At 49.5% G+C, this 23,427-nt stretch overlaps 1 protein-coding gene across 11 annotated transcripts in view, besides 3 other annotated features; it reads right to left on the reverse strand.

The window, feature by feature from the left end:
• COL23A1 (collagen type XXIII alpha 1 chain) overlaps positions 1-18,175 on the reverse strand; it is a 352,776-nt gene extending 334,601 nt beyond the window's left edge. For 10 of the 11 annotated variants that reach the window (XM_011534691.3, XM_011534690.3, XM_011534688.3 and 7 more), the window contains exon 1: positions 17,686-18,175. In XM_011534691.3, coding sequence (XP_011532993.1) covers positions 17,686-17,979 — 294 coding nt within the window. In that variant the 5' untranslated portion in view covers positions 17,980-18,175. Of the gene's footprint in view, positions 1-2,676; positions 4,089-17,685 lie in introns of those variants that run through there. The other variant, XM_011534692.3, reaches the window with a different exon arrangement.
• Positions 10,308-10,807: an enhancer, noted in NCBI's record as "H3K4me1 hESC enhancer chr5:178009527-178010026 (GRCh37/hg19 assembly coordinates)". NCBI's record gives its function as "activates a minimal SCP1, AML or CMV promoter by ChIP-STARR-seq in naive and primed H9 embryonic stem cells {active_cell/tissue: H9 hESC(naive and primed)}" and the evidence as "EXISTENCE:reporter gene assay evidence [ECO:0000049][PMID:30033119]".
• Positions 16,621-17,521: an enhancer, noted in NCBI's record as "H3K27ac-H3K4me1 hESC enhancer chr5:178015840-178016740 (GRCh37/hg19 assembly coordinates)". NCBI's record gives its function as "activates a minimal SCP1, AML or CMV promoter by ChIP-STARR-seq in naive H9 embryonic stem cells {active_cell/tissue: H9 hESC(naive)}" and the evidence as "EXISTENCE:reporter gene assay evidence [ECO:0000049][PMID:30033119]".
• Positions 18,177-18,376: a silencer, noted in NCBI's record as "silent region_16721". NCBI's record gives its function as "represses an Ori minimal core promoter by ATAC-STARR-seq in GM12878 lymphoblastoid cells {active_cell/tissue: GM12878}" and the evidence as "EXISTENCE:reporter gene assay evidence [ECO:0000049][PMID:35858748]".

Here is a 23,427-nt window from a genome sequence, read left to right on the forward strand (position 1 = left end):
ATGAACACACAGAGAATTATTTTTAAAAGGAAAAGACAAAGAAGACAACTAGTGAACTGTGGGACTTCAAGTGGTCAAAATATGTGTAATTGGAGTCACCAAATGAGGAGTGAGAAAGAGCAAAATAGAAAAAAAAATTTTGAAGAATAGTCAAAAAGTGTTTTCAAATTTGGTGAAAATTATAAATCCACAGATCTAAGAATCACAATGAAACCCAAGCACACACAAAAAAAAATCAAGAAAACGACACCAAGATATATCATAATCAGATTGCTTAAAACCAGCAATAAAGAGAAAATCTTAAAAGCAGTCAGAGAAAAATGACATATACATGAGCAACTGGAATTGTCCTACACTGCTGGTGGGAATCTGAAATGATGCGATGGCCTTCAGCAACAGTTTCTTAAAAAGTTAATAATACACATATCATATGCTCAGCCATTCCACTCCAAGGTATTTACATCCAAGAGAAATGAAAGAATAAATCCGTACAGGGACTGGCACGTGAATACCCATAGCAGCTTTATTTACAATAGACAAAAACTGGAAACAATCCAAACTTCCATCAATAGCTGAATGGATAAACAAATTGTGGTATATCCATATAGTGAAGTAATACTCGGTAATGAAAAAGAATGAATTAACTATTGTGCAAAAGCAGTTCTTTGTATAAGCACTACATAAACATACTAAAGTATCTCTCAATAACTACACTGAGTGAAAGAAACCAGACGAACAAAGAGTGTGTTATTCCACCCAGAGAAAAATCCTGGAAAATGAACAGAAATCAATAGTAACAAAATCAGTGGCACGTTGGTGGCAGGCAGGGAGGGATGGAAGGGAGGGAACTGAACGAGGCAGGAGGAAACTCTGGAGGGTGAGGGATGCATTCCCTATCTAGACTGTGGAGAGGGTTTCATAGTTGTGCACAGATGTCAAAATTTATTAAGTTGTGCATTTTTAATTTGTGGAGTTCACTGTATGTCAATTATACTTCAAAAAAAAAGGCAAACAACAAAAATCCCAGGCTGCGGCTTCTACAGACTTGGTGGGTGGTAGAGTGTGTGTCCTGGGTACAGAAGGCATCACACTGAGCCTCAGGTTCTGCCTGGGTTCGGTGACAGGTAAAGCACCCAGCAGAGTCATGGCAAAGGCCAATTGTGAGAGCGTCTGGCCCGGCCACCGCACTTGGCAGGAGCCACTTGGCTTTTCTCTAAGAATGTGGGTTTAATCAGTGACTCCCATTGGCACACTGAGTGACTCTCTTTCAAACCACGTCAGCAAACGCATTTCCTCAAGGGTCCCTGATAGGTCCTGAAATACATTAACATGTTTTGAAAGGGTTGGTCTACAAACAAATGGGATTCCTCAGTAATCCTTCATTCACATTCACATTCATTATTTTTTAAAATTATTTTTGTAGAAAATATTCACAGCAGTTTTATTAATAATAACCCAATACTGGAAACAACTCAAATGCTCATTAACAGGAGAATGAATAGTGATATAGTCATACAATGAAATACTACTCTATAATACAAAGAGTTATTGATACGTGCAAATACATGAATAAATCTCAAAAGCACTATTTTAAGCAAAGGAACCACACATAAAAGAAGACATACCATACCATAGGGTTCTTTTTTTTTTTCTTTGTTGAGACAGAGTCTCGCTCTGTCACCCAGGCTGGAGTACAGTGATGCAATCTCCACTCACTGCAAATTCAGCCTCCCAGGTTCAAGCGATTCTCCTGCCTCAGCCTCCTGAGTAGCTGGGGGTACAGGCGCCCACCATCACGCCCGCCTAATTTTTGTATTTTTAGTAGAGACAGGGTTTCACCATGTTGACCAGGCTACTCTTGAACTCCTGACCTCAAGTGATCCACCCACCTCAGCCTCCCAAAGTGCTGGGATTCCAGGCATGAGCCACCGCACCTGGACCTGAGGGTTCTATTTATATGAGGTTCTAGAACAGGCAAAACTGAGCTATTGGTGATAGAAAGCAAGAAGGCGGTTACCTCTGGGTGGAGACAAGAAAGGGGCATAGGGAATTTTCTGAGATGTTAAAAATATTCTGTACTTATTGGAGATGCTGGTCATGGGCGCATATATTTGTCAACATCCATCTAACTCTACACTTAAAATCTGTGATTTTATTGTGTGTAAATTATATCCTTTCTTTTTTAAGAGTTAGAACAAAAGAAAAAAAGTAAGTTGCAGGATGTGGAGGGAAATTCTCAGTGGAATCCCACAAGGAAACCGTGCCAGCCCCTCCATTTGTCCAAGCATTCTACTCGCCACGGGGTTGGATGCTACACAGACGCCAATGAAAAGGTTGCTCCCGGGAAATGTTTGGAAGCCGCTTAATGCTCCTTGCAGGGAGACATTCAGATAACATACATTGTTTCCCCACAAATATACACACTGTGAGAGAGAAGCTTACTCCAAAAGGGTGGCTCAAAAATACAGCATTCTGTTTCTTGCGGCAACCGGTTTGCAGTGTCAAGAAACGTAAGACAATCTATGTTGTCTTTCCCACTTCATGAATGCTAAACGCTGAAGGTATTCAGCTTAGCATCTCCGAGTTGGAGAGAATGAGGACACCATCCACCTGACTTCTCTTCAAACCAGAGTCCCTTCTCCAGCACTCCTGCTCAATAGGAATCCAGGCACTTACCTGATTTGGCATGTGAGATCAGTACTTCCAGCCCATTCTTTTGGGACAACTCTTCATTTGCTTTCAAGTTCTTAGCAGTCATTAACTAGCAATCTTCATCCTGGTATCTTTTATGTGTCAGTCGCTTTTTCCTTCAGAAGAAGGAAAGGACAGCTCCGCACAGCTCCCCACCTGTACTCTTAGGGTCAAGGGGAGCCAGGCTGTTCATTTGGTCCATCCTTTTTCAACACCACTTCTTGCCTTATGAGTGCTGCAGAAATATCCTCTAATGAAAAGAAAAGTGTCCTCCTTTAGGAAACAGGAACCTCCAGGTCTTAACTACTATCCTGGGAATGAAGTCAGCCACAAAACTAAGGGATAATTGGGCAGTTAGGAAGCACCTCTTAACCTCAAAATAATACAACCCTTCCTAAGGCTGTCTTTCCACCACTACAGCTTCGCTCGTGTAGGGAATGAAGGAGTGGCCCCTCTTCAAAGACCCCCTTTGAAAATGCAGCATTTCCCAAGGAAAGCCACACATTCAGCTGCTTATTAACAGCAACATGTTTTTCGTGTTAATTTGCCGTTCACAACACACTCCTATGTGTTACCTCCTTAGGCCCTCACTAGGAGCTCCTGCAGAAGATCATGGATTATCATTATTTCCACCTATCTTTTTGGAAGATAAATCTCAAGCAGTTCCATGGCTCACCTAGACCACCTAGATGGGCAGTGGCAAAGCTGGAACTAAAAAGCAAGTCTTCCCACAGCAGGTCCTGTGCTCTTCCCATAGACAAGGCACCTGCCACCTGGTCCTCACTATTCAGGAGACTGATTGCTGTGAGAGCAGAAACAGAACGCAGGACAGTTCCTGGGAAAGGCAAGAAGAGTGCATGAGCCATTGTGTTGGGGGTGAGGAGAAGGGGCGCAGGACAGGAAGGAAGCGGAGACCAGGTCCACCTTCACTTGCTCCGAGTTTTGCCAGGCATATGTGTCCTCAGAGAAACTCACATACACCAGGTGTTCGGAATATGACCGTAGCCACAACTACTTCACAATCTTCCAAGCGAGCAAGTCAATCCATTGATTCCTCTAGTAGCGATGGATAAAAACCCAACTCAAATTGGCCTGGACAGTGATGTCGAGAGGGGCTCGGTCACGAAGCCGCAGTGCTTTTGGCAGTCCCTCAATACCCCTTCAGACTGTGTTTCTCCTTGCGCAGCAAGTCGATGCTGGGAGCTCCAACTTACAGCCGTTGGGGGTGATTTTGCGAAGGTAGTTTTTTCAAGCAAAGTTCAGTTCCCTAAAGCATACTGGCTGAAAAAGTCTTGCCCTGCTGCCCAATAGCCCACTGGCGTTGCCATTCATTATCCTTTTTTTTTAGACGGAGTCTCACTCTTGTCGCCCCAGGCTGGAGTCCAGTGGCATGATGTTAGCTCACTGCAACCTCCGCCTCCCGGGTTCAACCGATTCTCCTGCCTCACCCTCCCAAGTAGCTGGGACTACAGGCGCCCCCCACCACGCCTGATTTTTGTATTTTTAGTAGAGACGGGGTTTCGCCATACTGGCGAGGCTGGTCTCGAACTCCTGACCTCGTGATCCACCCGCCTCGGCCTCCCAAAGTGCTGGGATTACGGGCGTGAGCCACCCACCGAGCCCGTCCTCATTATTTTTCAAAGACACACACGGCTTCTCAGAACCCGCCCTCCAGGGTTCACCATGCTGGGCTGGCGCAGAGACCCATCCAGGCGGTAGGAGCGGGGACAGGCGCGGGGTCGTGGAGGGCCCCGGGCTGTTCCTGATCCTCGAACTCTCTCCTCCCCACGGCCGCGGTCTCCTCCCCGGGCCCCGCGCGCCAGGCCCTGCGAAAAGCCCCAACGGGTCCCCCGGCGACCGCCGCGCCGGCCTCTCGGTCCTGTCCTCCGAGGCGCCAGGCCTCCGCCTCCAGCGCGGGCCTCTCGGGCAGCGCCGCCCCTCCCCCTGCGCGCACGGGAGGCCGCCTGGGTTCGGCTTTGGACCAGGCGAGCAGCGCGGCGCTGGCCGCTCTGCCGGGTCAGCCCCGCGGAGACGTCTTCCCCGCTGCGCCCCGGCCCCAGCGCAGCGCCCGGGGAGCGGCCCCTCCTCGGGCAGCGGCCGGCGCCTGTGTCCCTAGCGCGGTACTGCTTCTGCCTGAGGACTCCCCGCCGGGGTCCTCCCTGTCGCCGTCTGCGCCTCCGCGCCCTGTGGGCCGAGGCCCCGGCGCTCCTCGCTCAGCCCAACTCCCAAGGCCCAGCGGGTCCCTGCTCTGCCGTCCGGGGATCCCGCGGGTGGTCCGGAGCCCGGGGCGCGGCGCGCCGTTCATTCCCGCGTCCTGGCGGGGCCTGCTTCTTCCCGAGCCCTCTCCCTGCGGCTGGTGGTCCCAGCGTGCTGGCCGCGTCTCCCCTCTTCTCGGGACACCAGCCCTGTTGGATCAGGGCCCCCCCACAACGACCTGTGCCACCTCATCCGCCTCTTTAAAGACCCCATCCCCAAGGGCGGCCGCATCCGGAGGCCCAGGGGTGAGGACTTCGCCACGGGAAGGAGGCACACGATTCAGCCCATGACACCGCCACCTCGGCGTGGTGCTGTAGGGGGAAGCTCAGGCACTCACCGAGGACAGGACCCGGGGAATCCGCTGGGGCTTTCAGCAGGGCCTGGCGCGCGGGGCCTGGGGAGGAGACCTGGGGAACAGCCCAGGGCCCTCCCAGAACCCGCGCCTGCCCCCCGCTGCCTGGATGGGGTCTCTGTACCAGCCCAGACCAGAGCGAGTGTCAAGGGGGCTCCTCTGGCCGCGCTGCGCCCCCGCGGGGCAGCCCCAGAAGGGCCATTGCTCAGTCCTCACCAAGACCAGCGAGGCGGATTCGGCCAGCCCCTTTCCAGAAGAGGAAGCCGAGGTTCGGAAAGGTCAACCAACTTGTCCCAGGACGCTGGCCGGTTCAGAGGCAGCTCTGGACTCAGACCCAGGCTTCCCAATTCTAAAGCCCACTGCATGAGCCGTCAGGGCCCAGCTACAGGGTCTTTCGGGGACACTTGGACGGGATAACTTCCACAGTGAGGCGATAAGGTCAGGCTGGTCCCATCTGGGGACCTTATAAAGTCTCTCACTGTCTAAGTGAGATGCCTGTACAGTGCCCACACAGCATGCACACACGTGCATGCACACACCCACATGCACACACACACTCATGCACACACACATGCATGCACACGCCCACATGCACACATTCATGCACACACACACATGCATGCACACACATGCACACACAGGCATACTTACGTGCATATGCATACATGAAACACGTGCACACATACACCCATGTACACACACATATGCACACATGCATACTCCTGGCACACACGTGCACACACACCCATGTACACACACATGCATGCATTCTCCTGGCACACACATACACACTTCCACCCTCACACTAGCTCACGCTCACACACACTCGAGTCCCCTTGACATCATGGGAATCTTCCCTTCCTGACTGCACCACAAGCCTGGTCTGAAAGGAGGCTGCAGGAGGTAATATAACCGCCCAAGCCCCACGCAAAAAGGCGCAGTTAAAGCACAGTCAAATCAATGAGCAGATCCGGCATTTTTTGTGTGATGTTCCTCCCGGGAGGCCCAAAGTTGAGTAGATTTTATTTAAACTGTCTTTTCAAATACATTCTAATTGCTTTATGCCTTGTTTCACAGCTCAGAGTTGGAAACAAATTCCATTTTAGAAGTTGCCATTACCCATTTGCAAGCACCGCCTTCCCCCACCCACCCCTGCCCCCCAAAAATTCCGTGGCTACATCAGGAGAATAGATTTTCTCATTTCCCAGTGTGAAGCGAAGCAGATGTGTGTGAAGCCTCTAGCTCACCAGGTTAACCACGAGCATTTCGCCGTGTTGCCGCCATACCGCATGATTATAAAAGCAGACTTTTTTTTTTTGAGACAGAGGACTCTCTTAATTAAAGCAAATTGATTAGGTATTTGTGTGCCCTTTCACAATGACAAATCCATACAATTATTTTCATGAATAATTTTATTTTTATTTTGGTCATGACTTTTTAAAATTAATGGAAAGTCTCAGTCTGCTCAAATGATAAACCAAAAAATGGGGTCATGAAGCAAATTCAGTCTTTGCATTTCTTCAACAACCAACTCACATTTCTCTGCTCCTTGACTCAGAGGCTGGACATGTGCTAACAGCTTTTTTGCTTCTGTATATCCTTAATAGGATGGCAGAATCCCGGTGTTAAAAGAATCTTAAAGTCAGCCGTGTCACCATGGGACCTCGATTAGCAAACAGATGTAGACATTCCTTCCAAATTCAGTCAAAGAAAAAACTCTAATACCAGCAGCCATGTTCAGGGTGTGCACGACATGCTGAGCGCTTGGGATACATCCCCTTGTTTAATTCTCACAGAAACTTTGTGAGACAAGTACTATAATCCCTGTTTAACAGATGGGCAAACTGAGGTTTGGAAAAACACTCATTTACCGGAGGTCACACAGCTGGAAAATAGCAGTGCTGGGATGTGAACCTGGGTGTCCTCAAGGCTGAAGTCTTTGTTTGTTTGTTTTGAGACGGAGTCTTGCTCTGTCGCCCAGGATAGAGTGTGGTGGCGAGATCTCGGCTCACTACAACCTCTGCCTCCCGGGTTCAAGAGATTCTCCTGCCTCAGCTTCCCGAGTAGCTCGGATTACAGACACCCACTACCGCGCACGGCTGATTTTTGTACTTTTAGGAGAGACGGGGTTTCACCATGTTTGCCAGGCTGGTCTCGAACTCTTGACCTTGTGATCCACCTGCCTCAGACTCCCAAAGTGCTGGGATTACAGGCATGAGCCACCGCGTCTGGCCAAGGCTGAAGTCTTCCCTGCCACTCCACGCATCCATCACTTACAGATGTCTACAAGGATGTCCACACTCGCAGAAAAAGCTGCTGCTCAAAGCCAAATCATTGTTTCCACCAGGTCTGCCATGAGGCTGTGGAAAGGGCTAGGGATTAGGAGTGAGGTTACTGGGTCACCTAGGTTCAGGTGCCCATTGCCACCAGGGGCCAATCGCTGCCCCTCTCTGGGAGGCTGGATCCCATCTTACCCACGATAGAGCAGCTGTAGAGAGAGGAGGCTGTTGAGAAACTAGAGGACATGAGGCCGGGCATGGTGGCTCACACCTGTAATCCCAGCACTTTGGGAGGCCAAGGCGGGTGGATCACTTGAGATCAGGAGTTAGAGAACAGTCTGGCCAACATGGTGAAACTCCATCTCTACTAAAAATACAAAACTTAGCCGGGTGTGATGGCGCATGCCTGTAATCCCAGCTACTCCAGAGGCTGAGGCAGTAGAATCACTTGAACCTGAGAGGCAGAGGCTGCAGTGAGCCGAGATCGTGCCATTGCACTCCAGCCTGGGCAACAGACTGAGACTCCATCTCAAAAAAAAAAAAAAGAAAGAAAGAAACTAGAGGACATGTGAATCCTCTGCCCAGGACACACATGGGACGCACACAGTTGTTTCTCCTATAGCCTCTAGAAGTACGCCGACACGTGACTTTCAGAGGACATCTGCAAGCTTTTTTTTTTTTCCCCAATGGTTCGTGCTTAGTCCTGAAATATGTTTCTGGACATGATGAAGGGATGTTCTCTGCGTGCCTATGTCAACAGTTAAAGATTAATCCTGATTCAACACATGATGAAAACTGCATAAGGGAGAAAGCTGGAGGTGGTGTGTGGCCTCTGGAGAATCTTCCCAAACTGAATTACATTCGTTCACATAACGACAAATCACAGTGAGGACCAAGCACGGTGCCTGGCACCACTAAATGCTGCTCAAGAAAGGTTTCTGGCCGGGTGTGGTTGGCTCATGCCTGTAATCTCAACACTTTGGAAGGCCAAGGTGGGAGGGCTGCTTGAGTCCAGCAGTGAAAGACCAGCCTGGTCAACACAGCAAGACAATAACTTTACAAATTAGCCAGCTGTGGTGGTGCTCACCTGTAGTCCCAGATACTCGGGAGGCTGAGGCGGAAGGATCACCTGAGTCCAGGAGCGGAGGCTGCAGTGAGCTGTCATCACACCACTGCACACCTGCCTGGGTGACAGAGCGAGACTCTATCTCAAAAAGAAATAAAGTTTCCACACCAAACTGATACAGGGGTTTCATTCTGAAATGAAACTTTCAAACTTAAAGGCTTTCTTTGTTATCAATTGCTTTTTGCTTTCGACAACAATGATAAATCCAACTGAAATTAAAAATTCAACTAAAAGATATATTGAATCCACGTTGCCCATTATAAAACTTGAAGCACAATTTCATAATGGTCCCACAGCTTCCGAATACCACAGGAGGAGAAACCTGTCTGTCTCAAACTCAGATGTTCTAAAATTAAAACGAGGCTGAGCGTGGTGGCTCATGCCTGTAATCCCAGCACTTTGGGAGGCCAAGGCAGGCAAATCACCTGAGGTCAGGAGTTCAAGACCATCCTGGCCAACATGGTGAAACTCCAACTCTACTAAAAATACAAAAATTAGCCAGGCATGGTGGCACACACCTGTAATCCCAGCTACTCGGGAGGCTGAGGCAGGAGAATCGCTTGAACCCGGGAGACAGAGGTTGCAGTGAGCCAAGATCATGCCACTGCACTCCAGCCTGGGCGACAGAGTGAGATTCCGTCTCAAAAAAAAAAAAAAAAATTAAAACGAAAAACAAAGCCCGAAAGACATCCTTCTGTATCCAGTTACTCCACATCCCAAAGAATAACAGAAGAAAGAAACTTTCCCCTCAAAACCACTGACTGTACCATTATCTGCACTAACAAAAATAGGGGGAGGGTGTATGCCACGTTGATAGTAGGATGCAGATTTTCTTGATGGGATATGCAAGATTTTCTTGATGGGATATACGGTACAGTCATCACACATGACCCTAAAGATGAGCCATCACCTGGAAAAATGTGTCTGATGTACAGTTTAAAAGCAAGGTAAAAATGGTATGCATTCTGTGGTTAAAATTAGGTAAGCAAATATCTGTCTACATGATGGATGAGAAAGGATTGCGCAGAAAGTTAAACAGCCCTTGGTTTAGGATGGTAAGATTATAGGGTAACATTCATCATGCTAAATCAAGACATAGCTTGGTTATTTAAAAAAGAAAAAAGTGCGGGGCAGGGGGAACAGGTGCAGTAGCTTAGATCTGTAATCCCAGCATTTTGGGAGGCTGAGGCAGGAAGACTGTTTGAGGCCAGGAGTTCAAGACTGCAGTGAGCTATGATCACACGACTGCACTCCAGCCTGGGAGACAGGACGAGACTCTATCTCAAAAAAAAAAAAAAAAAAAAAAAAAAGGAAGGGAGAGAAGGATGGGCAAGCCATTATGCCATTTCCCGACCTGAGAGTCTAGGTAAAGGAGGCAGCCACAGCTCAGCGGCAGCAGGAGCTGGAGCGCTAATGGGCACGTCAAGGGGCAAGAATGCGATGTGCAGCTGCCTGGAGGAGGGCACTGTGAAGGATCTCCACCTCCCCAACACCCGCCACTGCCCCAGGGAGGGACTCAGAATTATTTCGAGAGAAGGGAGCAACGTAGAAATCTGTGGGGCAGAGAGGGCTCCTCTGAAGGTGCAGGATCACATCCACACTTCGCGAGGTCCTGAAAGCAGAGGACAGCGGGGCACAGGGCTCACAGCGCACCCCTGGCTGCGCCAGCCCCACCTCACAGCCAGAACTGAGGCTCAGAGAGGCCCCCAGGCTCCTCATCTAGAGCCTTCCCCTCCAGCCCTCAGCATTTTCCTCTTCCAGACTCCGCCCTCCAAAAGCACCAAGCAAGGCGTGACTACCCCCAGGCTACATGCACCTCACCATTCCAGGTCCCGAGGACTTGGGGTACTCCCCAGACTCCCCAACCAGGCCAGAGACATCCTCTGAGAACACTCCCCGTGAGAACATTCCCCAGGAAGCTGATGAAAGTGGGCAGAGAAACAGGGACCTGGGAGTAGGTGGCCTGACCTGGGCACACCCGCACTGTCCCAGACTGAGTGCCAAACCCACACACAGGGTTCGCAGACATTCGTCCCTTTCACTCCCTTCTTCCCAGGCAGGCTGCAAACCTAAGGGAGCTCAGGCCTGGCCCTGCGTGCTCTTCCGCCTCTGTGACATTTCTCCCCCTGTAAAACAATGTCAGTAACCTCTGTCTGTACATCTCATGAGGCTGTTGTGGGCAACTTTTAGGATTTGAAGTAACTTGTAAAGCTGACATTTTGTAAGCACAGTATATACAGAGAAACACAGATTTCGACACTGCTACCGATAAACCCAAATTTATCAATGTACATAAACCCCTAGAGAACAAGCACCCACTGGCCTCCCCACTGGATCAAAAATCCTTTCATTGAGTTTCATGCCACTGAGGTGGAATTTCTCTAGAACACAGCTCCAGCTTAGAGCCCAAGCTTCTCACCCTATTCCTTGGATGGTCACCTACTGGTTTTGCCGGCCTCATGTCCTCTCCCTTTTCTTCCAATAACACCACTCCAAATTGTCCTTTGGGATCAGCTTTCACTTCTTGGTCCCTAGAGCTCCAGTGGGGTTGATCGTGCACACACATGAACACACACACACAGACGCAGCTGAGCCTCGCCCATCGAGAGGCTGCCCTGCGGGTCTCAGTGACCAGGACGGGTAATCCGTATTGTTAGATGCAGGCTGTCTGTACTGATAAATGCAGGCAATCCACACTGGTCCATCAGAGGGAATTAGGGAATTTCTGCTGGGACTGTTGGAAAACAGAAACTAACACTAAGGATGTGAATCTGGAGTTGCTGGAAGCTTCCCTGGCACTTTATGGGGAGAGTGAGGGCATCCTTGAGAAATATGGAGCCAAGAGGAAGAAACAAAATCCAGGCACCTTGAGCCGGGCCTACACAGACACTAGCCTGGACTTCTCCGTTACTCAAGCTAATTAATAACCCCCTGCTTTCTCCCCAATTTTTATTTGTTGTTGAAACAGCCTCAGTCTGTCACCCAGGCTGGAGTGCAGTGGCGCAATCATGGCTCACTGCAACCTTAAACACCTGGGCTCGAGCAATCCTCACACCTCAGTGTCTCGAGGAGCTGGTCTACAGGCTTGCGCCACCATGCCCAGCTGATTATTATTTTTTTTGAGATGTACTCACCCAGGCTAGAGTACAGTGCCATGATCTTGGCCCACTGCAACCTCCGCCTGCCGGATTCAAGTGATTCTCGTGCCTCCCAAGTAGCTGGGATTACAGGCACATGTCACCATGCCTGGCTAAATTTGGTGTTTTTAGTAGAGACAGGGTTTCGCCATGTTGTCCAGGCTGGTCTCGAACTCCTGACCTCAGGTGATCCACCCACTTCGGCCTCCCAAAGTGCTGGGATTACAGGTGTGAGCCACTGCACCTGGCCACACACACACACACACACACACACACACACACACCTAGAAATAAATACATATAAATTTTTTTCTTTTTTTTAAATAGAGACGAGGTCTTGCTATATCATCCAAACTGGTCTTGAACTCCTGGGCTCAAGTTATGCACCCACCTTGGTCCCCCAAAGCACTGAGATTATAGGTGTGAACCACCACGCCCCAGCCTGAATTCTTTGAAATTAAGCTGCACCATCTTGGAGTCATGTCACATTGCTATTTGAGGGTAAAAGGATCCAAAGGCATCTAGAAAGGTTGAAGCTAATGGGTTGCTGCTCGGTGAGGGAAGGAGGGACAGCCTGCTCTGGAGACCATGACTGTAACTGCACCTGCTCTGGAAGGGGATTTGGAGGCCACAGTCAGATATGGCTGCTAAGAAAGCCAAGGAGCTGGGGGAAAGGCAGGATAGTAGGGGGTAACAGAGCTTCCCAGACACACCGAGTGGGTGCAGGTGCACTGTATGTGGTCTCTGGTAGACTGACTACCTTGGTCCTTCGGGGCTGGGGAGTGGCTGGTCACCTCCAGCCTAGTGTCCTCTTCCCTTCCTGCAGTGAGGGAAGTGCTACCATTCTTTGCATGTGCTATGATATGGGAAAGCTGGCAAGCAATGTCCTAGAGTGCCACCCTTAGTCACTCACTTCGGGGGCAGAACAGCATCTGCTCAAGGGTTAAAGGCCAAAGACTGCAACCAACGGGACTGTGCCAGAGACAATCCCAAACCCATCAACCTTCCCTTCAGCTGTGGCCGGCAGCACAGCTGGACAGCAGAGCCCCAGGGGAGGCAGAAATTTTGTGGTTGAAGAATGTTCCCAAAATGTGGTCCTTGGGAAACACCAAAGCAGAAGGAAGGCCCAGTTATGAGAACTTAGGCGGGCCAGTGGATGACTGAACCCCCGCTCTGCCCCACCCTCCTCTGGGGTGACAACAGAAACATTCCATGGCCCCAGCAGACACTGGGGTAACACTCCACGGCTGACCCTGGGGTAACACTTGTGGCCCCGGCTGACGCTCAGGTAACACTCTATGGCCCCAGCTGACTCTAGGGTAACACTCCGCGGCCCTGACTGATGTGTGGGTAACACTCCACAGCCCTGGTTGACACTGGGGTAACACTCCACGTCCCTGGTTGATGCTGGGGGTAACACTCCACAGCCCTGGATGACGCTGGAGTAACACTCCACGTCCCTGGATGACGCTGGAGTAACACTCCACAGCCCTGGTTGATGCTGGGGGTAACACTCCACAGCCCTGGATGGCGCTGGGGTAACACTCCACAGCCCTGGATGGCGCTGGGGTAACACTCCACAGCCCTGGATGGCGCTGGGGTAACACTCCACAGCCCTGGATGGCGCTGGGGTAATGCCCTACAGCCCTGGATGGCGCTGGGGTAACACTCCACAGCCCTGGCTGACCCTGTTGGTTGCTCCCCAGTAGCCATGCCCAGTCTTCCTTCCTACCAAAGCCTCGATTCTGTTCCAGCGGCAACACGCCCAGCCTCAGGGGATGAGTCAAGATTGGCCAAAGCCTCCTATGGCGATCGCATTACCCTTGCCAGTGAAGGGGATGGCGACCCTGTGACCTAGCTCTGGCTAGTGGCTGTAAGTCTGCCGAAAGGTGGGAAAGTTTTCCCCTGAATTGAAATTAAAGAGACAACCTCTCAAGAAGACCGCTCTCTTCCCTGCCCCCTTCCCTTCTACCCAGGCTACTCTTGGGTGAAGACATAGGTTCACAGCTGCAGCAGCCACCTTGTGACCATGAGGAAAGGACAAGAGAACGGCAGAGACTGAGTGGTACTCAGGTGTGGCCAAGTCGCTGACAGACCCAGGATGCGCTGACCGTCTTCCAAGCTTCTCCTGTAGTGTGTGCTAAGAAAGGACACTCAGATATTCTGTTACTTCCCATCAAAAGCATATTTACCATCCTGTACTTTTCCTGTCTGTTATCATATTTGCATACATGGGAGCTGTGACCACACTATCAGAGGAGAGGCAGTGGAAGAGGTTGGATGACAGAGCTGGTAAATGGTGGGACCAGGCCTCAAACTCTCTTCTGCTGATAGGAAACCTCAGGCATGGTCTGCTCTGCTCTGCCTCTGGTATAAATTCATTCAGCTTACAGATTCCCCAACCTCAGGGGCCATGCCTCAAATTTTCAAAGCCGATGTGGAAAAGTCCAATCCAAAATGACAAAATATGTCTGTGAAAGGAACGCCCCAATCCTTGGCTCATTCTAAACATGCTACTATTATTATAAAGCTCTCCCAAACTGTTGCAAGGAAAAAAAAAAAAGGACAAGAAAAGAGTGGAGAGAGAAAGTGAACATGCCAAGAAGTCATTGAAAGGAAACTTTTTTTTGTTGTTTTGGGAGCCAGGAAATGTCAAGGAAACAAATGTAGCTATGATTTACACTGCATCTCCAGTTGTGCCATGGAATTCAAAAATAGGCATCTTAATTAAAACTGACAGCAGAGAGCAGCCCTGACAAGTAGACAAACCACCAAAGAGGCTGAAAAATCTCCATTTGACTCTGGGTTGACAGTATTTAACCAATATACAGAGTTGATAAGAGAAAAGGAAAATGCGTAAACTTTACTCGAGTCTCTGGGCTTTTCTTGTTTTCAAACTGATTGGTCTGGACAATGGAAGGCCAACAGCCAACAATAAATCCATTGTAAGCTGGCATGGTCTCCTCTGAATACAACTAAATATTTCTTTAATCCTTGCATTACATTTTTTACTGTATTATGAAAGCCATGTATTCTAAAGTTTTAAGCTTTTATAACATTGTAACTATAGGTATAAGATGGGGGGATTGATTACTTAGGCAACCTATTTAAAGCACTTTAAGAGGAAAATATTAGATTTTTTTGCATGAATATTTTCACATCATAGTGAAGATACGATCGTTCATGGCTCTTACTCAGAAATCTTGTTTATCTCTTCCTTTGTGTGCCATGGGAAGGGTCTTTAATGATCATGAGTTGACATGAATATTCCTTTCTTGTAGCTTCTGTATCTTCATTATCGGGCACATCAGCCGGTCCCAGAAAAAGTTATTTCACAGTTCTGTTCCCAAGGGAACAAAGAGAGTGGGTCCCATATTCACAGTGGCTTTTGTTGGCTTCTTTCCCCCTGACATTAAAGCCATGTATGGTTGGCAAGGATGTCTTTTCTTTAATGTGGACATGGTTTCTGCCTCTGGTTCTCTGGAAACAAGTTTGCTGTAGGACAAGCTGCCCGCACACTCACATACACGGAAAAGAGGCTTCACTGAGAACAAATCAGAACTGAAAAACAGCTTCAAGTACAAATGTTCTTTTCTTCCGAGATTTTGAGTTCAATATTTATTTGGCTTTCATATCTAATGGCTTGAAAAAGTATCTATACATCTAATTAGAGTTAATTACTCACTCCCTGTATGTGCCTCCCACAGTGCTCTCCTCCCAGCCAAGGAACTCATTGTTACCGGCCAGGCTGTGTACATTTCCCATCCAGTGACATTTACAAGAAGAATAGCTCCTAGCAGAAACAGGCTGGTACCCTAAGAGAGAGAAGCTGTCTCACAGGGGCCACCCAAACAACCAGAAGTTCAGCCCCAACTGCATTCATACTGCACCATCTCTGACTCTCCACTGGCGGGAAAACCCAGCCAGCTTACACTCCACGCACAGCATGCGCCTCAGATACCCAGCTGGGATTAGCGAGCAGGACCACGTGTGAATGGCACGGCAAATTCTCCAGAATACAGGGTTCCCTGGATTCTAAATTTTTCTCTTGCCTTTCTAATCAAGAACAGAGAGAGAGAGAGAACACACACCCTGTCCAATAACTCATTGTTCAAGCACTGTAGTTCACCCAGGTAAAATTCAGTGCAGCCGGGAGGGGGGAAGCCTGGGAGAGCAACTGCAGTCTCTCCCGCTGAAGTTCAGGACTCAAAAATCAACACTTCCCAGCAGTGGCTGCCTGCCCAGGATGCCCCTCCCTCCTAAAATAGACACAATTTGTAGTTCCTTGTAAAATGGTTGTATCAGGACTTCTGATTTACTCAATCAGGGCTTGCGGTTTATTTTTAGCAAATAAGAGAGGCCTCCTATGAGAAAGAGCAGCCACACTTATAGCGCTAACAGGTAGAAACTTTACTGGCCCTCTATAAATCAATTCAACACCCTGGTCTCCAGGCATTTGCCAAAAGCTAATGGGCGGCAATTATGAAACCATCGCCAGGAGTTTCCAGCAGGGCTGAGAGAGAGTTTTAAGTCTGCAGGCCCTTTCAAGGGTAAAATAGGAAATCATTTCATGAAGCAGCAATTTTACCCAGAACCCAGCTAGAAGAGATGTGATCCTAGCTTAAATTAAAGTGACTAAGAAACAGGTGGGGTGAACAAGGAGGTGTGGTACGCAAGTCATCTTCTCCCACTTTCCTTTGGAATCCAAAGGAACTCAACATTGGAAACACAGCTGGATACGTTAATAAAGATCCCAGCTGGGCAGTCTAGGGAATTGGGGGTGTACAGGCCAGTGCTCCCTCTCCTCCACCTTGAAACCCTGCCTGTTTTCACACAGCAATTGAGGATGCGCCCTTGGACAGCGACCTTGGGGTCTGGAGCAGCCATCTATCCCAGGAGAAGGAGGAAGGCTCGGCAGGGGAGGCTCTGGCCAGCCCACCAGGGCCTGTCCAGTTTCGTGGGGAGGGGAACTGCCGCACATGCCGCACACAAAAGGCGGAGGCTTTGACCAACATGCTGGGTGAGGGCTTGGAGGACCCAAAGGTGGCTCTTTCTTTGAAGACACACAGCAGCAATCTTAACCCTTAGAAGTGTCACAGAGCCTCATATGAGCTTTCAAGTAAGCTGTGGAAGTCGCGATTCCCAGGTAAGGGACGGGAAACTCCGGATGTCCTGCGAGCCCACACCCCAGATGGCACCGCCTGAAACCAGAATCCAGGTCCTCCACCCCCGATTGTTTCTCCTTCCTCTCATCTTACCAAGTCATGTGGGCGCCCCCACCCCCATCCCCGAGGCCTCAGTGCGACGGTGACCGCTCAGTCTTGGGGCCTGAGCTGCTGGAGACACACTGGAGCACAGCGGGGCCCAGCCCTCGGGCCTGTCTGAGGCTTTCCTCCGCCGTGACCACCGCCTCTCCAGGTGTACCAGCGTTGGTTAGGAACAGTAGGTGCTACTGGTCACAGTCACCAGATACTTCCCACGAGCCTCATCTTTATCCCCGACTCTGGCCGCCGGCGGGAAGCGGCGTGTCCGAGCGCACACCCCGTGGAGACTGACCCTAGGTCTGTTACTCCAAAGTCCCTGGTCTCTCCTTCCCCTTTCTCGCGGCCGCCTGCCTGGCACGGGACCCTGAGGCCGGAGCGGAGACCGCAAAACCCCTTGGGGCCGGCACCCCCTGCCTCCGCCTTGGCGCAGACGTGCCCATCTCTGGGACGGCCCCGAGCGCACGCAGCCGGCGGGCGACCCTCCTCCCAGAGACCTGCACGCTGCCCCCGGCTCCCAGCGTACCGCCACCCTCAACCCGACACACCCAAGTCCGCCCCAGCCACGCGCCAAGACGCTCACCTCCCGCAGCAGGCGCTCCAGGTGCGGCTCGGCCCAGGCGTCCAGGGCGCCTGGCGGCCCCGCGCGCCGCAGCAGCTCCCGCTCCTCCTCGAGCGCCGCCACCCGGCCCTGCAGCGCGGCCGCCTGGACACCCAGCAGCAGGCAGGCAGCCGCCGAGCCCACGGAGAGCAGCAGGCACAGCGCGCTCACCGCCCGGGACCCGGCCGTCGTCGCCGAGCGCCCTCCGCCGCCGCCGCCCGCCGCATTGCCCTTCCCCGCGTCGCCGCCGCCACCGGCGCGCTCGCCTGGGCCCATGGCGCGTTCGTCGCGCGTGGACTCTCCGAGGGGGCGGTGCTGCTGGGGCAGAGGCTGGGTGCGAGAGGAGCAGGCGGGACAGCCCGAGGCACGAGGTCCGCCGGGCGCGGGGGTTAGCCTCCGGGTAGCAGCGGATCGCCGCGCACGCCCCCTTCGCCGCAGCCAGCTCCTCCACAGCGGCCACTTTGGGCAGTTTCCTCTATGCAAATAGACCCTGCCAGAAAAGGAGCAGGGACCCACCCAGGGGAGGAGCGGCCGGGCTGGCCCCGCGCGGCGAGGGGGCGGGGGCGAGGAAGGAGCGAGCTCCTCGGAGCCACCCGTCGGCGCCGGGCTGATCCCACGCGCAGCGCGCACCTCTGCCCTCACCTAGCCCGGGCGCCGGCACCCGCCCCCGCACGCACCTCTGAGGCTTCCCCAGCCCAAGCCCGCACTGTGGACCCCAGAGGTCGGAGGGGAGCCCGGCGACACCGCGCCCCTTCTGCAGCCCACCCCTGGCTGGAGCACCCACCACTCGTGCCTTAGCACATTCCTCTAAACTTGTGAATTACCTTTCTGACACTTGTAAAAGTTCAAAACTTCAAATCCTGCAAAAAACTGAGTGGGTCTGTCCTCGGTGGTGGATTAGCGCCGCTTCGTGGCGGAAAGCGACCTCTGCGCACTCACATTTAGAGAGGCAGGGTCGAGATTGCGCCAAACAGAAATACGCCCCTTAGAATCTTCTCACGAGTTCTTAGCTGCCGGACTTCGGTGCGGGAAACAAAAATGGTAAGACTGTTTCTGGCCTGGAGAGGGCTTTTGAGAAAACTGAGACTATAACGAATGGGAAAGATTCAGAAAATGAACTTCAAGTCTTGTTCAACTGATGACTTAATTCTGTATTAGACGCACAACTTGGCCAAAAATTATGATCTAGTATGCACCACACTTAACCTGTACTGCGATTCTGCTGCAAATTTAAATCACAGGGCTGAGGCAAGAAGGCTGTGGCGTACAGCCTGGGTCCAGAGAACAGAATGAGTGGCACTAACAAGTCTTGGCAGGAAAGGGAAGAACTGCTGGAAGTCAGGCTGGGTTCAGATTCCTACCAGGCATATTCATGTCCTAAATGGGTCCCAAGTAACTCTTTCGCTAACTCCTGTAATACCTAAATGAAACAACAAACCAGCAGTTCAGATCTTTGTGATTTGAGTAACCCCCCAACCATTTTTTTTTAAGAAAAATAACGTTATATCCATCTTCCCTCTCACTCTGGATATCTTCTGGTTGTCTCATTTCTGTGGATACTCACCTTTTAGAACTGTTGAGTGCCTCTGGCTAACATGTTCCATCTCCTTCCCTTAATTCAGAGGGGAACCCCTGAGATGGCCGGGGGTTATGGTTGATAGACTTGGCTCTGTGCTAAAGTCTGGTGTATGCCCAATAGAATGAAAAGTTGGCCTCATTCTGAAAAGAGGCCAACACCCTCTTACAAGTCAGCACTACATTTCTTACAGGCACATAAACTGCACACCACCTACCTATGTTAATGTTACTGCATGTATTGTTTGCCATGTTCCTGAAGCTTCTGTGTATTGAAAAAGCCAAGCTCACTGGCCCCTGGGCCTCTGCCCTTGCCTACCACCTCACTACCTGCATTCCTGCTCTCAGATCGTTAAACGGCAAGCCCCTCCTCATCCTCCAGGTCAAGGTCCTCAACCTCACTGCTTCTAAAAGATCTTCCCAGACTGCCCAATTTAAGGTGGCCCACAAGATTAATCAGGGAATTGGGGCGGCTGAATTAAGATGGAAATACTGTCTGCAACTCATTCTAAAAGGCGAAAAAGAAAATGACTTACTTGTGTCCATTAGGGTCCTGGAAGAATAGATGGCATCCTCAGAGAGGGTGACTCAAGACAGCCTGAATGTAGAGCCACTTCACAAAGTGGAGATCAGAGGGGCCAGCAGGGGAGGCCGAAGCAGCACTCTGCGGGTATTGACAGTGGGAGGCCATTACCATCCCTAACTGGGAACCCTGGGGAACTTGGAGCTATAGAAGAGGGCTGCTCCACAGCACCTGTGGCCCTTGGTTAAGGGGAACAGCCTCTGCAAAGCCATGGCTTGAAAGGGAGGGAGCTCACAGAATAAATACTCAACTGCTCTCTCCTGCTCTCTGATCTACTGGGGCCTTCCAATGACCAAACCTCCAGGGCAGGGGCCAGCCTCCTAGAGGGCAGAGAGCAGAGGCAGAAGGAAGAAGGGCAGATCTTGAGGGGGAATAAAAGAATATCCACTAACCTATCGTGTGTAGCATCACCTAACAGGTAGACAGCACTTACACCAATCCCGCTACTGCTGCCTATGAATGGCTAACCTGTCAGCAATAGACTAAACAAGGTACTCCTCAGGCAGACTAACTGGCCACGTGGTGGCAAAACAGCTACTTTGGATTCCCTCCTTCCTGCAAGGACCAATGGTTTGCCCCTCACAGGGACAGCACCAGGTGTGGGCTTGTCTTTCCTGCCTGCAGAGCCTCAGCCAGCATTGCTATCCTTACAGAATGCCCAACCCACAGGTACAGGATCTCACACACCACCACACCCAACCAGGGCACCCATTTTACAGTAAAGGTCTGGGGCTGAACCCATGGACCAAGGAATCCACTGGTTGTGTTGCATCCTGCACTGGTCAGGAGCAACCAGCCTCACAGAATACTGGAACTGCCTTCTGAAGGCACAGATGAAGCACCAGCTCAGGGGCCACTCCCTGAAGGATTTAGTGCCATCTCTCAGGATGTAGTGTGTGTGTTAAATCAGGAACCTCTATATGATGCTGTGCTCCCAGTAAGAATACGTGAGTCCATGAACCCACAGGTAGAAGCACTAGCCATCCCTCCCCATGACCCCATGGGGGATGTTATGCTTCCTGTTAGAGAGTTGGAGGTCCTAGTTCTCAAAGGGGTTACATTCTTGCCAGGGGACACAGTAGGGGTTCCATTAAACTATAAGCTATTGCTGCCACCCAGGGCACTTTGAACTCTGTATATAGGGACCTGAAATCAAGACAGCACCATTTGGCAGAGGCAATTGACCCTAATGAGGAGGAAGAGGTAGGGCTGCTTTCATACAGGGTGCAGGAAAGAATAGGCCAGGCACCTCATGGTACGCCTTTGCCCAATTGCAACTGGAACAAAAATGTGTAGCAACCCTGACCTGATGATCTACAAACGCTCAGACTCTTGGAGATAAAGGGAGCATATCAAACTATTTTATAAAATAGGGATTATTTGGGTCAGATAGGATGGACAACCACTGAAGAAGGAATGTTAATAATGAAAAGGTTCAAATATGTTCAAACTGCTGTTCAAGAAGGCATGGATATGTAATCCAGTTTATAAAAATTTTCAGCAGAAAATTGTTTAAATTAAGCCACAAGGTTTAAAGGGATAGCAAAGGGTGTTGTGTTTTTTTTATATAAGGTAATGTTATTTAAAAAAATTTTTTTAAGAAGGCAATGTTAAAAAAGGCACCAGGTTTTGATTCAATGCCCAGATTCTAGTTCTGGCTTCACTAATATCTCACAGTATAAACTGAAACAAGCTATAGACCCTCACTTTTTATTTATTTATTTATTTATTATTATTATTTTTTTTAGAGGTGGGGGTCTCGCTATATTGCCCAGGCTGCTCTTGAACTCCTGGGGTCGAGCAATCCTTCTGCCTCGGCCTCCCAAATGCTGGGATTACAGGGGTGAGCCACCATGCCTGGCCACCTTTTTGTTTTTAAAACAGAGATGTTGACATGGACCAGATTTACTATCTGACTATTTAAAACAACTAAAAAGCCAAAAAAAAAAAAACTGTATAAAAACAGCAGTTTTCGAGACACCAGACATCAGGCATTAAAGGCCAGTGATCCTTTGGAGACAGGAAACAAAGTGAACCCAAGGACTGCCCTGGGTTCCTACTCTGGAGAGATTTTCCAGGACACAGTGCAGGTAGAGCCAGCTGAAGGTGAAGAGAGAAAGCTGAGTCCAGGGAGGCCAAAGCAGTTAGAATTTACAGAGGAGAGGACAGGAGAGGGAAGAGCTGCACAGAGAATTAGAGATCTGCAGCTGGTCCCCCTGAAGCCTTCACCTGAGGACTCACCAGCATCCATGTGTGGGGAAACTACCAGAGGCCAGGACGGAATAACCCAAAAGGATTAGACTCTACAAACCCCACAGCTCACACAAAGCCAGGCATAGTTCTTCCTACCAACCAGTGTGGAAAATCTGGTAACTCAGAGAACGCTGGGTAGAGTACTCAAAAGGTTTTTGCCTCGGTAGTGGGGAAAATACTAGCCCTAGACTAATTGCTGCCCTGGTCCTGTCTAACAAAGCTTAAAACCCAAACCTGAAGAGATCAAACTAATTCAAATACTTAATCATGTCCCACAATAAAGCACACAGAATTTTACCCAATAAGGTAAAACAAAAGGTAAAATTACCAGGCATGCAAAGCAGCAAGAAAATATGACCCATAATAGAAGAAAATGCAATCAATCAAAACCAACCCAGAAATAACAGAGATAACAGAATTAGTAGTAAGCAAAGCTATTAAAAGCTGTAACTGTATTCCATATGTTCAAGGAACTAAAGGGAAGATTTAACATGTTAAGTAGAGGTATGAAAGATATCTTTTAAAAAGACTTAAAATTCTAGAAATTAAAACGATAATGTTTGAGGTGAAAAATACATTGGATCACATTAAAGGCAAATTAGACACTTGGGGCAAAAGATCAATGAACTTAAAAATATATCAATATAAGCAAAATGAAACAGTGAGAAAAAGACAAAAAAATGAAGAGCGTCAGTGATCTGTGCAATCACTTCAAGTGGCTTAATGTATGTATAACTGGAGTCCCTGGGGAAGAGGGCAGAAAAAAATGTTTGAATAATGGCTGAAAAACTTTTCCAAATTTGATAAGAACTATAAACCCACACACATATCCAATAATTTCAAGAAACCCATGCACAAGAAACATGAAGACAACTGCACAAGCCACATTATAATCAAAATGCTTGAAATGAGCAAAAGAAAACAATGTAACCAGAAAAAGAGACACAAATACAGTAACAAGGATAACAGCAGATTTCTTTGTTGGAAACAATGCAACCCAGAAGATAGGTAAGCAACATCTTTTGTCAACCTAGAATTTTATACCCAGCAAAATTACCTTTCAAAAAACAAAGGCTAAAGAGAGACTTCTAGACATACAAAAGCTGAAAAAATTCATCCACCATCAGACCCACAATTTTAAAAATGTTAATGGAAGTAATTCAGGCAGAAGGAAAACCATGCCAGATGGAAATATGAACTTACACAAGGACTGAAGAGCATAGAAAATACTAACTCTGTGGGTAAATATAGGCTTCTTTTCTTATTATTTAAATCTCTTTTAAAGATAATCAATGGTTTAAAGCTATATATAT

This window comes from Homo sapiens, chromosome 5, assembly GCF_000001405.40.
Source record: "Homo sapiens chromosome 5, GRCh38.p14 Primary Assembly".
Lineage (NCBI taxonomy): Eukaryota > Metazoa > Chordata > Mammalia > Primates > Hominidae > Homo > Homo sapiens.